Below are 18078 nucleotides of genomic sequence, written 5' to 3'. Positions count from 1 at the left end.
CCTTCACTCAGGGAACAAAATGCTAAGCTGAGTATTTTTCTCCCAATACTTTGATATTCTTTTCCCATTGTCCTCTGGTTTCCATTAATGTTGTTAAAAAGTCTGTCCTCAGTCTTACTGTGATTCCTCTATAGGTAACTGGGTTTTTTAACATCTTTATTGCAATATAATTGACATACCATGTGATATGATTTGACTGTGTCCCCAGCCAAATCTCATCTTGAATTGTGGCTCCCATACTTCCCACATGTTGTGGGAGGGACCCGGTGGGAGGTAACTGAATCATGGGGGTGGGTCTTTCCGTGCTGTTCTCATGATAGTGAATAAATCTCATGAGATCTGATGGTTTTATAAAGAGGAGGTTCCCTGCACAAGTTCTCTCTTGTATGCCACCATGTAAGACATGCCTTTTGCCTTCCTTCATGATTGTGAGGCCTCCCTAGCCACGTGGAACTGTGAGTCCACTAAACCTCTTTTACTTTATAAATTACTCAGTCTTGGGTACGTCTTTATCAGCAGCATAAAAACAGACTAATACACCATAGTAACTATCTTTTCTTTTCTATTGCTTTTAATATTTTTTAACTTTGATATCATCATGAGAATTAGAGTTGATGTAGAAAAAGGAATATCACCTATGCACTCAATAAGTTAGTGCCTCATCTAAATTTTCATATGAAATGGCCATGACTCTGAGCAGACAGTGGCTCTTAATACACTATATTTAACAAAAACTGGACCAGGATTCTAAAAGAAGGTCATATGTCTCATATATGTTCATTTTCACTGAGTCTTTTTTTCCCTGCACTCTGTAGAGCACATTTTCTGAATCCCACTTGTTCTTCACACAAAACATGAGGGAGCTTGATTTGCTTGTTTTTCTTTCCTTTAGTCTCTGCTATTGTGAGTGCCTAACAAGGTTAATATGCTGCTGCTGTTAAGTATTATCATTTGGGGTGTAATTATCATGTGTGGCTAATCATGCACATGCTGAGAAGCTGGGGAACTTGTTTTTAACTGGAGGGAACATCTTAATGATAGTTTTTGACAATGACCATTATATCTGTACATATACACATATAAACACAATGCAGTAATACACTGTAGAAGGAGACATAGCAAAGCTGAAGATGGAGAAAGAGAACCTGTCAACACAATACCTAACTTTTTTGAAACATAGCAGTATATCTGTAACACTAGCTTGTTAACCTCATTTAATAAGGAAAATGTAATTCAGAGAGGTTAAATCAAATGTTGAGGCCATGAAGCAGTTGGATAGCAGGGCTAGGATAAGAACAGAATAGAGCTGCAAAGTTGTTACTGAATTGCTTTCCCGTGAAGCCAAATTCAAAAGATGATCAAATGTTTCTAACTCTTACTGCTAACTTTTCCAAAAGCATTTGTAAATGCACATCAGGATTTCAGATGTCTGCTAGACACTATACACTGCTTTTTCATCTGGACCATTAGCCAGGGACAGACCTGGAGGTTATCATTTGCCATCAGAAGATTTGTAGACTACCCTATACCATCTTAATAGCAACAATAGTTTTGAACACTGACCACGTGTAGTAAATGAGACATCACCTTGAAAATGGCTGGTGTGACATTTGGCATGTTGTTACTTGATTTGCACTAAGATAAGTTCATGCTGCTACCGTACTTATTTATGTTTATAAATAGGTTCTATAGGCTAGTTACAGTAATTTTCAAATAGCCTATTTTATCTTCTTAGCCCACATACATGATTTTTTTTAAAAAATCACAACACTTTATAACATGGGCATTTTCACCAAAAGATGATTGATAGACAGATAGATACATAGAAATGAAGTTCGAAAAGAAGAAATGCCCAGCCAAATACTTTCCCTTGTGATGGATGTGCTTTATGGAGGACACTAGAAAAGATACCCTCAGGTTCAGATGTTCAGTACCCCATTTTTTTTTTTTTTGAGATGGAATCTCACTCTGTGGCCCAGGCTGGAGTGCAGTAGTGCGATCTTGGCACACTGCAACCTCAACCTCCCAGGTTCCAGCAATTCTCCTGCCTCAGCCTCCTAAGTAGCTGGGATTACAGGCACCTGCCACCATGCCTGGCTAATTTTTTGTATTTTTAGTAGGCATGGGGTTTCACCATTTTGACCAGGCTGGTCTCAAACTCCTGACCTCAGGTGATCTGCCCACCTGGGCCCCCCAAAGTGCTGGGATTACAGGCATGAGCCACCAAGCCCAGCCAGTACCCCATCTTTCTGATCCAAGGTTTATCTAGGGAAATAGAGTGACATCTCAATCACTCTAATTAAAAAAAAAAAAAAGTATTGCCAACCACAGAAGTCCCTATGCATGGCTAAGACTCATTTTATTTTTACCAACTTGACCCAGCTTATCTACTTCATACCACACTAGATTGTATTCCCCAGTATATTATACCTAAAATTTAAAATATATAGAATATTTGAAATAATAGTACAGTGGAGGTCCCTATACCCACCACCTTAAGTTTTCGATTGTTTTATTTTTTCTCACATATCTGTGCCTCTATTCATCCATTAATCCATTTTAATTGTAGCCATTGTTGCTCTTCAATGCTAAAAATTTCAGCATGCATTTCATTAGCTAGAGTTTAATATTTTACAGTACTTTTTTAAGGTAAAATTTACCTAAAGTGAAATGTACAAAGCTCAGTGCCATTCACCAACTTCTGACAAATGCATACATCCATTTAACTCACATCCCTATCAATATATAGATAAAAAATTTTAAAGAATAACAAAATACAGAATATTCCCATCATCCCAGAACATTTCCTCATGTCCCTACCAAGTACATCCTAGCACCAATACCATTCCTGACACCACCACTCCTTTGCTTTTTTTCTCCACTATAGAGTAGTTTTGCTTACTGCAGAATTTCTTACCAATGGAATCAAGCAGTAGGTAACTCAGTAAGTTTGTGAGATTCCTCCATGCTGTTGAATGCCTACATTTAATTTTATTACTTTTTATTGCTGAATAGTATTCAATTATATATCTTAATTTGCTTATTCACTCTTCTCTAGATGGGCGTGAGGACTGTCTAGTTTTTGTCGTTATGAATAAAGCTGCTATAAACATTCTTGCATGGGTCTTTTTTTCTTTTTTGACTTACCGGTTACTGCCCAAGAACGTAACTGCTAGATTCTCAGTGCATGTTTAGTTTTATATAAAAAAAAGCTTCTACGCCTTTTCCCAAAGTGGTTGTTCCATTTTACACTCACACCAAGAATGTATTCTCCACATCCTCACCAATACTTGGTGCAAATTTTTCATTTTAGCCATGCTGGGGGCTGTGCAGTGGAGGCTCTGGTTGGAGCCGGCAGAGACTCACATTTCTATTATTGGCCCCACTACCTCCAGCCCATCAGAGAAAGGAGCCCTCTCGCCCAAGGATTTTACCTCAGAAGGGGAGGGGGTTTCTATCTCAGTGGCTTATTTCTTCTAAACCCCAACAGAGGAGAAGAACTTCATCTACTGTTTGTTCAGTTCCTCTGTCTTACTTAGGAGGAAAAGTTTAAAAAATATCCGATTATCTAACCGGGTCAGGTTGGTGAATTCAAAGTTGCCTTTTGTTTTATGATATATTTTGAGGCAAAAAGATTCTCACTTCTAAATCCTAGCCGCTGTCTCTCTTTCCAGCAACATGTAAAACCTTAACAATATTCAAGAGAAGAAAAGTTCCTAACACTCAGGCTCAACCTATTTTCCTTCACACTTCCCTAAGAACCATTCTTTATGTGATCATGACCGCCCCGTCGGGCATGATTGAGGTCACGGAAGAGGTAACTGCACCTGAGCCGAGAGCCTCAACCACAAGCTGTCATGGCCCTCAGTGGTACAAGTTCCCCTGGCCGGCGGCGACCCTGTGGTGGACTCTGCAGCAGGCCCCAGGCTGCCGCCGGCTCTCCCTCTGCCGTGGGGAGCGGTGCACTTGGCATGCGGCCTCCGCCTTTCCCCACTCACAGCTCCATTCCTCTCCTGGCTCCTGTCCTCTCTTCTTCTCCCCCTCTTCCTTCCAACTCTTCTCAGTTACCTCATAAAACTCGTGTCCCCTCATTCTTTCTCTCTCTTGTTCTCTTCCATATGGGAACTAAAAATGTATCCCAAGCTTGCCATGTAACTGTCAAAGTAGTGTGAGTGCCATAATGAAGCGAGACATAATGAAAAACCAAGGCCGTCGACATCCAAAGCCCTTGAAAATCCCAAGAGGTCCATTTCAGAAGCTCCACAAAGGAACCTTCTACTTTCTCATCCCTTCCTAATTAAACTGGCTTTTCCTCAAGTACCAGCATTCTACAGAGACAAAAAACTTTTGTCTTCACTATTGGCTTTCTGTTTTAATTACTAGCATCACGGCAGCATTGTTTTCTATTCCATGGGTTGCAAAGATACAACATGTCAGTTACATTTTAAGTTTTATTGCAACACTATGCCTATGGCAAATCATGTACTAAATGCCAAATAGACTTAAACTTCTGGAATAAAATCCATTTCTAAATTAGGACTTGCCTTTTTTTCCTATTTGGTTTTAAATATTTGTTACAGGAATTTCATCTTTAGCATATTTATGTAGATATTTATCAAGATATAATAGTTCCATCCTCAACATCACAGTTTTGCATGTATTACAGGAATGCAAACTTATAAAGTATACACTATACTGACTCCTTTTTTATAGATGAGGAAACTGAGATTCTGAACAGTTTCATAACACAATTTTTTGTTTGTTTGTTTGTTTGTTGTTGTTTGTTTTTTTGAGACACAGTCTCATTCTGTCACCCAGGCTGGAGTGCAGTGGTGCAATCTTGGCTCACTGCAACCTCCACCTCCTCGGTTCAAGCGATTCTCTGGCCTCAGCCTCCCAAGTAGCTGGGATTACAGGCGTGCACCACCAAGCTCAGCTAATTTTTATTATTTTCTGTAGAGCTGGGGTTTCTCCATGTTGGCCAGGCTGGTCTCAAACCCCTGGCCTGAGGTGATCCATTCACCTCGGCCTCCCAAAGCGCTGGGATTACAGGCATTGAGCCACCGTGCCTAGCCAGTAACTCACAACTATTATAATAAGTGGCAGAGCCTGAATTCACACCTTGGTTTGTTGGCCTCCAGCTGGTACTTTCTCAAGCACGATGATGTACCTCTCCTCTGGATTGCCCGGTACCACCCAATATACCAAATAAAGCTTCCCAGCATGGACTTGAATAGGCCATGATTGTGTGATCCACAACCCCATCATTCTCTGCATCTCTACCCTGTTCCTAAAAAATTGTTCAGACTTTACCTGATCTCAGAAGGACAGCAAAAGAGGTTAGCAAAAGTTCAGAAGGCAAAGTAGTAAATCCAGACAGATCTCTAGTAAATTCAGAGCTATTCTGGAAAACAAATTGGTATCTAGCAAAAAGAGTCTAGCTATGCAATTAATAATAAGCATCTATTATGCATTCTAAATAGCCCTCATGTGGCTCTGAGTGTCGACATAGAATATGGCTGATAAACCCAGTCTATTCTGTTATCCAAAGTGCTGGGGCATTCCTTACTAATTTGCCCTCCTAATGGTTTTCATACAAGTTGACTAACAAGATACCCCCATTCCACAGATCCTTTGTGGGCTGCAGCATAGTTAAGGGCAAAAAAAGAGTGAGAGCCCAGATTCAGTTGTAGGAGATGACTCTTTTCCAGTGGTGCTCCTAGTTCTTCACCTGCTGCTGATACCTGAGGCCTGAGCCCACTGACTCTTTCAGCCTGCCACAAATATACTGATTTCATCCTTCTTTCAATAACAGTTTGGTGCCCATGGTGGGCAGGCTCCCTAGCCCTCTACTCTACTCCCTTCTAGTTTACCTTCCTGACTCAAAAGACTAGAAATTCAACAACATTTTCAGACTCTCTTGCAGCTAGCATTCCAGATCCAAATTAAGTCCTCCAATTAGGTGTATTTGCATGAGGTCCAGAAGGCAGAAGCAAAAAAGAAATCATCTTCCTGCCCCCCTTTCAAGCTTTTTTGCTGCAAAACAAGATCATAAAAAGGTAAGCTAACTTTTTAACAGCATGCTTCTAATGTTCAATCTCTAACTTCCTAGGTGGTGAGAGGCTGTTGAGGCAACTGAAAACAGCAGCTTTTTGAGTCTGGCTTTCTGAACCTTGGACTGCAGCTCTGGGGATATACCTTGAACCCCTCTTTCCAGTGACAATCTCAAAAGTGGCAGTTCCCCTAGAAAGCCAGTCCTGCATTGCCCCAGATCTGCCTCCTTTACTTCCTTTCTCTGTCACCACCACAACCATTAACATTTCTTGTGCATTCACTATGTGATAGGCATGGTACTAAATGCTTTAAATAAATCATTTCATTTAAACTCCAAAACAACTCCATCAGGAAGGTACTATTAATATCTTTTTTTGTCAGATGAGTTAGCTGTGTTCTGAAAAGGGATAAATTGCACAGGATCAGATCAAAGCTAGTGGTTAAGTGGTAGGTAAAGCTGGAATTCAATCCCAGATCTGCCTTACTCCAAAGCCAGAGCTCTTTTTCTTTAAAGTTGAGGGCCTAGGACGTATTAGCAGATTTTAATTGCCCATACACATTATGTTGCTGAAAATGCTGTTCATTCTTTTCCTTTAAACAATATAGACACACAGGCCAGTCTATTTCATGTCCAGAAACATCTAGATAGCAAAGAAGTCTAATTAAATAGAGAGCCATTTAAAAAATACAGAGGTATCTCTTTGTGAAAGCTTGCTTAAGCCATAATAAGATCATTTTTATGGTAAAAATTAAAGAACTAAGATGAAAGCAGACAGGGCTTTCCACTTGCCTCTGGAAGAACCAGAGCTGGGAGAACAGACTCACACTTACCAGGTGCTCGGTTAACAGCGAGGTTTCGGAAATGGCTGCCTTTGATCATTTCCACAGATAATCGCCCCGTTGTGGCATTGTACGAGAGCCCCACCAACAGCTCTGGCGCCCCTCCATGAGACAGCGACTGCGTGGATGAAGTACTATCACTGTGAGAAACCGCAGATGGGCTGAGCGGAGACCCTCCACTCTGGAGGGGAAGAACAACAAAGAATCCATTGGCCCACGCTGCACTACTCTCTTTTAGAGAAAGCCGATATTATGTTTGGTGAAATTGTGACCCAATCCCCAATGACTGCCAAAGATGACTAAGGGCGCACTCGGCGTGAATTACAATGGGCCCAGGGAGCACAGTCACGGATGAGATCCCTGCATTAGGAACTGACATATTTGTTTCAAGAGCTGTCTCCATTCAATATTTCCTCTCTAAAGGCAAAACGGACAAAGACGTTATTACTAGTGTAAATCAAACCCTCTAAGATACAAGGAGAGTTAATAATACATTCAATATAGACTCAAATTCCCCCCTGTGTAATCTGTGCTTGGATGTTTCTAAGGAACCCCTCCACTCCAGGCCTGAGGTTTGTTTCTGTTCTCTGCAGCTCCTTGATGAATATGGCAATACAGGAGGCGTTGTGTCTTAACTATAAAAGAAATGACCACTGGACGTCTACCCCCACATAGAACATTTGGCTCCTAGTTCTGCTTAAGGTTGTTAAATATATGCCAGGTGCCAAATTTTGCCTTTTAAAGAAATAACTTACATTACAAATGAGCACGTTTACAACTGTTTGAGAAAAAAGACAACACATGGGTTGTGGGTCTCAGCGACCTGGCAGGCACCAAGTGAGCCCAGGAGAACCTGAGCTTTCTGTCATGTTTATTCATGGGCACGCTTCTCCTGAGCACCTACACTTCCCCACCAGGCACGGGCACATCGGGAGGAGGAGCACAAAACTGAGAAGGACACTGATTGTCCCTCAAGGCACGGGAGTAGGAATCGACCCTGTGGGGGCAGGCAATCCTGTCCCCCTGAAACACCATCTCCTCCACCAGAAACAAGGGCATTAGACTTGACTTAAACCTTTCTTCTCAATGTTTGAAATCATTTCTTCAAATTTCTGACCAGAAACTCAATAATTAGAACCAATAAAAGGAATCAAATATTCTGCCCATCTGCAGGAAAGTATCCTGTTTACCAAACCACAGACATTTCTGCAGAGCGCCCCCCACCTAACCTGAGGCTGTATGGAACATAGTTTGTAAACGGCAGGGCTAGGTGGTCGTGATAGATGTCTTACAGACCCTGCTGTCTAGAAGATAAAAATTCAACAATGAAATATTTGCTTACTCTTAAGTGAGACTCACTCCCCCTCCTGTGCTCCTATAAAAGCTTCCCGCTGTGGCACCTGTCACTCACTGCTTGCCTCTCCCATCAAATTCTGAATCCGTATAAATCTCTCAGTCCCTGGTGCATAGCCTAATGTCTGGCACATAACTGTGCTCAACAAATAACTGGTGAATGAAAGACTTCCACCTGCAAAGTTCTTTTACACTAGCTCATTTTCCCCATTCAACTCCGTGCCACCAGCACACAGCATAGGGCCTAGCAAGCATAAATATGGGTGTGATCATCCCCATTCCCAAGCTCTATCACGCAGGATCCCTTCTGATCTCCACTGCATTCTGTTTTCCATCATTTCCGATGTGCTTTACTCAGATATTAAGAAAAAAGGGAGATCTGAGCAGAGCTGAGACATCATCTGGCTTATAACTTTAAAAAGCTCATTCTGGCTCCCATGTCCAGAAGAGTCTGTAGAGGCAAAGGCAGAAGTGGAAAGACCACCGCTGAGCAGCTATTTCAGTAATCCAGCAGAGAGCCAGGTTCTGGTTGTACCTGAAGATAGAGCCAATAGGATTTCAGGTGGAAAACAGAAAAGTCACAGATGACTTCTGAGATTTTTGACCCCAGCAATTGGAAGAATGCAACTGCCTTTAAGCAACATGGAGAAGACTGCAGGGGGAATAGATTTAGGGAGGCAAAAATCAGGATTTCAGGCCTGAAGACGTTAATTTTGAGACATCATTGGACATTTAAGCAGACAGATCTGCCACCACTACAGTCCAGACTTTCTGTCTCCTTTGTTCTTCCTCAGATATGACAAGCTTCCCCACTCCCCCGGCCACCCCACATCCTGACTGCTTGCATGTGCTGTTCACTCTGTCTGGAACTCTCATCCTCCTCACAGCACCAGCCTCGCTCTCTCGATGCTTTGAGTTCCGGCGTTTTATCACCACCTCAAAGAAACTTTCTCTGATCCTCTAAACAAGCGGCAGCCTATCACTCTGTCTCCTTGCCTACTTGGCCACCACTAGACTGCAAGCTCTCCAAGGGCAGAGGCATCGCCTGCTTAGTTCTTTCCTGCATCCACTTTGCCTATACCATAATTGACAGTAAACATCTCTGAATGAATGACTGATTGAATCCAGAGCCTACAGAGCTCCCTGATCTGTTAACGTGGTTTTGTAAAAGGAGATGGGCATACTACATGACATATAACCCACAGCAGTAGTGAGCTGCCCATCCTGTAGGCATGTAAATTATGACACCTTTCCTTGAAACCCTGTGGCAAGCAGGGAAATGGGGTATGAGGGAAGACGGTAGTAACACAAATGAAAGGTTTCAGAAGCAGCTGAAGTTCTGGGCTGCTCTCTCAGTCTGCCCCAGCATACCCGTTAAGAACCTTGCCCAGAAAGTCCCATCTCTGAGATTCATCATGATGCAGATTGGGGGCAGGAGGAGTAGGATCAGTTATCCACAATCCAGAGGGCCAAGCCACCTTCCCTGTTTTTCTCCATGCCCTCTACCACACTGCTGCTATTTTGTCCTAAAATGGACAGGGCATTTATCCATCAGGTTATCAGGAAGACAGGCATGAAAGACCCATTGTACCATGAAGTGCAAATCATGGCTTACAAGGGTGAGGAGAGCCAAATGGAAAATTAAATTAAAGTCTCTGAATTCACAGACTGAACGTACTAAATCAAGGGCTGACAATCCCAGGTCTTCGAACACACCACATCATTAGCAGCACCATTTAACATACTCACGCTTATATTACTTCTTGGCTCCAGAACCAGAGTCACTTTCATTTCCCCTTCTGGGTGCAGGTGGCTGAGATAGAATAGTTTCTCTCCCATCATTCTCTCTCGGGTCATCTTCCGGGCAGCGTACAGGCGGAAGCGGACAGCACAGGCAGCCACATCTCTGGGCTCCAGCTTGGCAAAGGTGACCTTCTCCCTGAAGACGGGGTTGGGCCCTCTCTGTATGTTCGTCCTGCCCCTGTGTTTCTTACCAGGCAGCAGCACTACATGAACTTGCCAGGAGTTGACACCACTTCGGTCCTTATCTGGGAGGCCCTGTGCCCTCACAATGGTCACTGTGAGCTTCTGGCTGGCGGCTCTATATTCAAAGATGACATCTAGGTCACCACACTTTGAGATGGGCTCTGAGACCCCGGATGGCACCTGCAAATTGGTCCTGTCCTGTTCCTGTTGCAGGCAGAGGAAACAATTAGAAATGGAAATGATGATACCCAATTACATTTTGGCCAGTTGGTGCCCCTTTGTGCTCCTTCAGAATCCCTGCTTTCTAACTGCCAGTGTATTCCCTCTATATCAGATAGGTCTGTTTACTGGTCTATCGCTGCATTAAACTGTGAATTCTTTGACGGCAAAGTGCCTAGCATATGGTGCGCCTTCGTGAATGTTTTTGGAATGGATAACTAAAGCTTTTATATTTTTGCAAAGTGTTTTCATATATACTGCCTCTCAAAAAGCACAATTGCCCAGGATCATTGAAACCAACTGAGATGCTAAATCTAAAATTAAGTCAACAGGCAATTGTCCATAGGCAACTTTTCCTTGTGTCCCTAAATACAGATGGTTGAGCCTGAGCCTGTTCTCCACAGGCAAGAGCTTTCTACAGACAAGAATTTTGATGGGAGTCCCAGGAAGGTGATGCTTCAGTATATTTTCAATCTAAGTGGGAGAAAAGGTTTAGGGCTGAGCTTCTCAAACTTTAATGTAGACCTAAATCATCTGAGGATTCTGATTCAGTAGGTCTGGAGTGGAGCTTGAGATCCTGCCATTTCTGGGACAGGCACAAGGGATGTTGACGCTGCTAGCCTCGGCTCACACTTTGAGCAGCAAGGATTTAGGAGGACACCTCCACAGCCCTTTAGTAAACAGCAACACTGAGCCTGGAGCCAGAACACCTAAATTGAAATCATAACTCTACCACTGACTAGCTTTTTTACCCTGGCCAAATAGACCAGCCTCTCGGTAGTCTAGCTTAAAAATGCACATTAATGTGCCTACTTGCTGGTGTGTTGTTGTGAGGTTTTCATTGATATGAAAATACCTGGCTTAGACCAGACTGCATAAATATCTATTCCCACCACTGGACTGGTGCTACCTATTCTCAAACACACATCCCTCTTTATGGAATGTCACCCTTGGGTAGCAATTTACATGCAGCCACTCAGATCTGATGACCTTACTGGGAAAACTGAGCTAGGCTGCATTTATTATAATGAACCACCCCACTAACAAATTATAAATAATGTCAATAATAATTCTATTTTCCTCTGAAGGCATGATCCTTACCTGTAACTAAACTTTGATCTGATTCTTATTGCAAACCAGTTCTTATTTATGCAATTGAACACCAGAACTTGCTAATTTAGAGATCTCGTTTCAAATTATAATACAATGCCTCAAAATGTGCATCCATCAATGAAACTTTCCCACATAGTCTGGGTGAAAGTTCATGGTTCTCTGGGTTCGTATTTCCTTAGGAAGCCCAGGCCTACCACTTACTAGCTCTATGACACTGGGCAAGTCATTTAATCCTTTCCATGTTCTATTTTCCTCAACTGTAAAATGGAGATGGTACCTTCTGTGTAGGGATGTTGTAAAAAGTAGAGGACTTGACAGACAGTAGACATCTAATAAATATCCTTTTCTTTTAAGATTCAAATTAGCCTGCAAGAAAATTTAGATTTCTTGTAAAATAAGTGAAGCTTCTTATATCCTTTCCTGTGAGCATGCAATCATGCGTGAGTGTTTCTATTCAGAGGTACTTAGTTTCAAGTGATAAAAGTGGTTGCTATAGAGACTTTTGAATACAACTGACTAGTGTATATATATTAGAAGCAAGTCTCCAAGGATTTAGGCCAACTCAAAAATCAAGTCAGAATCTTCTCTCAAACTCCCTTGTCTCTTCCTAAAACTCCCATCTATTTTAGCCTACTCTTGATCATCTCTGTATTGCATTTCTGACCATAAGTAATAATAGCTAACATCTACTAAACTATTTCTTATGCCAAATACCATATCAAATCCTTTACAGACTATAAAAATTGGCTCTTAAACACTTCAGATCTTCTTGGCCTTAACTCATGTTCCATCTTCCCCTAAGGCACAGCCTATATGGGCTCTAAGTAGTTTCAGCCTGGAACTACTCAATAAAGTCTTACCTTCTACCCACACAATATAATTCTCATTTCTTATCATTGGTCTCTCTGTCGACCGCCAAGGCTTAGACAGCTGCAGAACCCTGCTTGACACCAATATATGTGAAGTCTACTTTTTGCCCCGTAGTCAGTTGTCCTATCAGTTCATACAGCTTCTTGGAGTGTGATCACACAAGATCAGGCAATTAGCCATACTGAGTGGTGGCCAATTCAACTGTGTATTCTCACACTTGACCTCCCTTCTTCCCTGCCTTACTTCCCTTGTCTCGCACTTTTGTTCCCTGGGGTTGCACTCCCAAAGCAGGGAACAAAGCCTTTACGTAGGCTCTGCTTTTTTGAGGAACCCAACTAAGAAACATTATCTTTTTGAATATTTACATCAATGCAATGAGGTAGGTATTTTAATATCTTCATTTTATGGAGGACGAAACTCAAGCTTAGAAAGACTAAATAACTAACACGCTCTCTCCCCCCAAGCCCAGATCAAATTCCCAGACAAGATTATCCAGGACTCATGCCCTGGCAGTTTGAGTCCCAGGCCTGCCTTAACTCGTATCCAATACTCAAAATTTCAAACCTTATTTTGAAACATACAGTCTCCTTTCTTCTTCCCCAAACCTTTAGGCATAACTATTTCTACATATAGACATATGTGTGTGTGTGTGTGTGTGTGTGTTTATATATATATATATAGAGAGAGAGAGAGAGAGCGAGAGAGCACTAGAGAGAGAGAGAGAGAGAGCAAGCGCACAAGATGAAGGGGGAGAAGACGGAAGGTGGGGGTTGGAATCACACTCTCTGTGGTTTTCACATCCTTTGAGGCCCCTGCTCTTAATGTTAGTTAATAGCTCTTAGTTTTGTCAACTTCAATGCCAAGGTAAAAATATTTTAGTGAATGAGGAGCTCTCTCCACTTATGTATCAGGCTGTCTCTTCGGATAAATGCTCACTCCACCTGCAGGTTTCTAAGAGAGTCCTGGGTAGAGCTCCTGACTGTCCTAAGAACTCCTCTGAATAAACAGATCCTGCCAATGGCTGGGCTTTGGATAGGCCAATTCAAGCTGTGGCCCATGAAAACTGGGCTTTGTAGCCCCTCCCTGGGTTGATTTGAGAAAAAGATTTGTGAATGCTGGTATTTTCATAGCAATTAATTATTTCAACACACTTTACCTCTCACCAGGCAACTGAAGGAGCTCCTCACTTGGGTACTGTTAATACCACTAATCCATCTGACCTTCCTGCAAGGTAAAAATCTCTTCATTCTTATCCCCATTTGGCAGATTTTAATTAACTTCTCAAGGCCAACCAATTAATCAGTGGAAAGCAGAGATGAAAAGTGGGACACCTGTCTCCCTGTGTGCTCAAAATCACCAGCCACACTCCCATTGTCTTTCCTGCCAAGCCCTGGGTCTGCAGGAAAAAGCCAAAGGCCTTCGCCAGCAGAGAAGAGCAGAGCTCGAAAATCCATCAGCCTAACAGGTAGTCACACTGCACGACCAGTTTCCTGCTGAGACAAAATAAATGATTCCTTGAGCTCCAATATCCTGGGCTTTTCCTTAAGATGAGAATACTTGTGTCAAATTGTCAAAACCCAGGTAGGTTTAAAGATTTTCTGTCAAATTGAAAGCCTTTCTGTTTTAGTAAGATAGTGTTGATGTCATCTGTGTGGCCTAAAGTAAACAGGCCTACAATATGTTCCTGATGCCAGATACACAGGGGAAGACAGAGTTCTCAATACAGCTAAGAGGCAAATAAATCATTTCTTAAAAGGCAAGCTAAGCCTGCAAAGCAGGCAGTTACGGGAACTGCCTCCGAGTTGGATTTGAGGTTCTACTGTAGGAGCACCAAATTACAGTTTTTTCTCAAAATAGATAGGAGGTTGAATGGAGCACACAGAGATGTCTGGGTATTTTTGGAGTCTGAGAACATTTAGTACCCTCAATACCGAGTCTTCTATTAAAGCTCCAGCAGGCAGGTAAATGGGAGGTGACCTGGAGAAGTCACTTCCAAGCCTCATGGCACAATCACCAAGGAGACAGAGTATCAATAGGCAGGCAAATCATTTGGTCTGTTTTGTTTTTGGGAGAGAGATTCAAAATATTTTTTAAGAGTTAGTGTGTGGGATTTGATACGGCTTGGTAGTAAACTAACGGGTAAGCAGAGTTTTTTCTTTTTTTAAACAAAATGTATAAAGTTAATGGCTTTGGGTGCCTCCATATGAAGGGCTGCTTTTTAACAAGCCACAAACCACATATGTGAGCTACCATTTCTGGTCCTCAGCAGAGACATCTACACAGGGGCACAGATGTGTATGCATACCCCTCCTTAGATACTACCTACACACGCCAACATGTTAGCAGTTAAGGCTTGGAAACAGGGTTTTCTGTGATTCCTTTTTTTTTTTTTACCTTGAGCATTTAGCGTGTGTGACACTCCAAGTCCTAATAAGAGATGCATCCTGTTTATTTTCTCAAATGGATGCTAATAAAATCCATTCACCTCTCTCCTTCTTCCCCCATCCCTGCAAATTATATTAAAGGTTTATATATGTATATGACTTATTTCATCAAAATTAATTTCAAATTAGGTATTAAACACCATTCCTTAATGCCTTCCAATGTCACAGAATCATGATAGGAGGGATCTATCTAATGGAAAAATAACCGTAAGGGCCAGTAAAAGGAAACAATTTGGTAAAATCCTTATCACAGTGCCTGGCATATATTAACTGCTCAATAAATGGTAGCTACTACCATCATCACCTCCAGCCATATCTCTGGATTGATTGTTACATTTATTCTGGACTAAGCTTTACTTGAAAAAGAACTTTGGAAGAAGTATCTTTTATCAGAGATTTACTACAAAACCAATGTCAATGGCCAGAGGGGCATTACTGATTAATGCTGTCTCCTAGGCACAAAATATATTTTGTATATATTCACAGTGCAAGATCTGCATCATTACACCTTGTATAATTTCACTTGGAAGGCCATTTCATTTTAGTTCAATTTTCAAATAATTTTCATATCAAATAATCGTAACTTGAGATTTGGGCTAAATAAAAATAGACTCCACTTAATTGAAACCATGAAGTAAATAAACCAGTCCCTCTAAAGAACTGAAAATTCCATTATTTAAAATTAAGTCTATAAAAAGCCTTTATATAAAAGAAAAGCCTGGCTGTTCCTGGATCCATTCTGCCACCATTCTTATTTTTTTTTCTTTTTTTCTTTTTTTTTTTTTTTACCGTTCATCCTTTTTTTTCCATTTTGAGAGAAATTTATGACTCTTTTATTGACATGCATGGGATTTTGGTCATCTGGACAAAAATTTATTGCAGATAAAAGTAATGCTTCCTTTCTGGAATTTTTTTTTTTTTTTAGAGAGATGAGAAAGGAGAGTGGAAAGAGGGGAAGGGGAAAGGGAACCAATGAAAGAATGAAAAACAAATAACTTGCCTCTGGACTCCACATGGAGGAGCTGTCAGTGGCATAGGAATCTTCAAATCCCCGGCTATTAAAAGCTGTCTCCATCTCCAAGCTGCCCTCTGTGGATTGGCGCCTGAGGCTTTGGACCACACTGGACTCTTGGTGAGATGTGCCGTGGTGTTTGGCATCCCCTCTTTCACATGGGGACTGTGAGTGAGCAGGGATGTGGTCATCTTCACCGTAGGAGAGATTCTCAGAATAACGCCGTTGGCTGGCTCCATCCAAATCTAAATTTGCAATAAGAAAACCATTTCAAATGCATTATTTTTAACACCTTTTTACCTAGAGAAATTGAGTAATTGCAGTCACAACAATCAAGATTGCAGAAACAGAACCCATACCAATAATACCTGCAGAAACATAATTCTATCCATACAGTGAAGAAACTTGATCCATAAAATGAAAAAGAACATTATCTCATTATGTGGCGTATCAGAAGGCTTAATACTTTTTAAATATGAGTGTAGAGAATATATATTTATGTCAAAAGGATAAAATCGACACAGCATTTTGCTGGAGCTAATGACCACAAGACTTCTGCAATGGATCTAAAAGCAAAAAGAGTCATCTAATATGGAGATCGTATGGTCTCCCGACTCTACCATGCTTCCTTTCCTCTTCAGTGTTTACCACATTACCCTCTGCTCAAAAAGCTTTGGTGATCCTACCAAGTAAAAAGTTCTCTCCTTGATCCATGGTCTTGGATTGGTATGATCCGAGTTTAAATCCTGTCTCTGCCATAAGAACCCGGACAATATTCAAATTCTCTGAATCTTTGCTTCTTTATCTAAAAAATGATAAAAGCCATCAGAGGGTCACTGTGGACACATGAAATAATATTCACCTGGCAGCCAGCAAGGCCTTCCGTAAATATTAGGCTTGCTTACCTGCCTGGCCTGAACTGGCCTCATCCAACCCATCCAACCCCATTTTCCACTGCTTCCCAAGTGACCATGTCTCATTCCTCTGGTCTCACTGGTTTATGAAAATACTAGCTGTGTATTTCTGCTCACAGTGCCCCTCAAACCCTCCCTGTGTCCTGTCCTCCCTCCCCATACAAAGCACCACCAACTCCTGAGACTTCCCTGACTCCTTCAGTCTCCACACTTTTCTCTCTCAGCACCCCTCACCTCCATTCATCCCTTTCGTCTTCCTACATGTCAAGAGTGTCCTCAGATGGTCAGGAAAAGCTGGCAGGGTCTTCCTAAGAAATAGCTGCCCCCACTATTTGCCTCCCACACCCAAAGAGAAATTGAGGATCTCTTATCTCTTTGGCCTCTTTTCTCCTCCAGCAGACCCCATCCCAGGATGAAAGAAAACTAGAGATGTAGACAGGACAAGGGCGTGGGTTGGCAAAGTCTATGTCATAAAGCTCTTCTATATACATTGTATGGTAGCAATTGTTTTCCCTTGTTAGTCTGATACCTCAGCTATTAATAGAATGTAAGCTTCTGGATGGTACTAAGCCACATATATCTACTGCATAGTCTTTATCTGCCAATGCGTTATCACTTACCCTTCAGAGAACTTTAAAGTCTAGGTAGGTAGCAAATATTGAAAGCAGCCAGGTATGCAGCAATATGAGTGGTGGTGACAGGGGTTCACCAGAGTACATGACCCATGTATAGTAAGCATTCAAATTTTAAAAATATGTTATCAACCAGACCATACAAAAACATCTTCAGGCAGATCCTCGGGGCAGAACTTCAGACTCCTAATATGGGGTTTTGTAAAATCACAGCAGGCCATTGAGAAAGTTCCCTATCTTCCTCGTTATCCTTCATTATTCAGTTCAGACCCCTTGGAAACACTTTTATGGGACATTACAAAATTTTTACATCCAGACTTTCGGTTATTTGGCAAACATCCTAAAAACAGGCCACACAAAATGACAGAACAAGGAAAAATCCACATGCAAAAACCTACAACATAAAGCAGGATTTTCTTCTAAGTCTCTAATTAGCACACCCATTCCTCACATATGCGAACAGGAAAATGTCCTATTAAACAGTGGGTCATCCATCAACATGTGTAGAACCCAGCAGGATTTCAGCACAAAATTTTACTTTGCCAAGAAATTATCCCCATAAAATTGTCTCATGACTTTAACTCCTACGGTGATAATACCAAGATCAGTAATAAGAGAATTTTCAAAAGCTACATTAAGCC

The 18078-nt window shown here is 41.6% G+C and overlaps 1 protein-coding gene across 19 annotated transcripts in view, besides 1 other annotated feature; it reads right to left on the bottom strand.

Moving 5' to 3' along the window:
- Positions 1 to 18078, bottom strand: part of SYT16 (synaptotagmin 16) — a 300664-nt gene that overhangs the window by 21555 nt on the left and 261031 nt on the right. For 17 of the 19 annotated variants that reach the window (NM_001367650.1, NM_001367661.1, NM_001367659.1 and 14 more), the window contains 3 exons: positions 15880 to 16136; positions 9997 to 10437; positions 6886 to 7075 (listed from right to left, as the gene is read on the bottom strand). In NM_001367650.1, coding sequence (NP_001354579.1) covers positions 6886 to 7075; positions 9997 to 10437; positions 15880 to 15954 — 706 coding nt within the window. In that variant the 5' untranslated portion in view covers positions 15955 to 16136. Of the gene's footprint in view, positions 1 to 5092; positions 6037 to 6885; positions 7076 to 9996; positions 10438 to 15879; positions 16137 to 16577; positions 16694 to 18078 lie in introns of those variants that run through there. The other 2 variants (XM_011537229.3, XM_024449726.2) reach the window with 2 other exon arrangements.
- Positions 10080 to 10199: an enhancer, noted in NCBI's record as "active region_8503". NCBI's record gives its function as "activates an Ori minimal core promoter by ATAC-STARR-seq in GM12878 lymphoblastoid cells {active_cell/tissue: GM12878}" and the evidence as "EXISTENCE:reporter gene assay evidence [ECO:0000049][PMID:35858748]".

Source organism: Homo sapiens, chromosome 14 (assembly GCF_000001405.40).
Source record: "Homo sapiens chromosome 14, GRCh38.p14 Primary Assembly".
NCBI lineage: Eukaryota > Metazoa > Chordata > Mammalia > Primates > Hominidae > Homo > Homo sapiens.
This window is presented reverse-complemented; position numbering and strand designations above follow the sequence as displayed.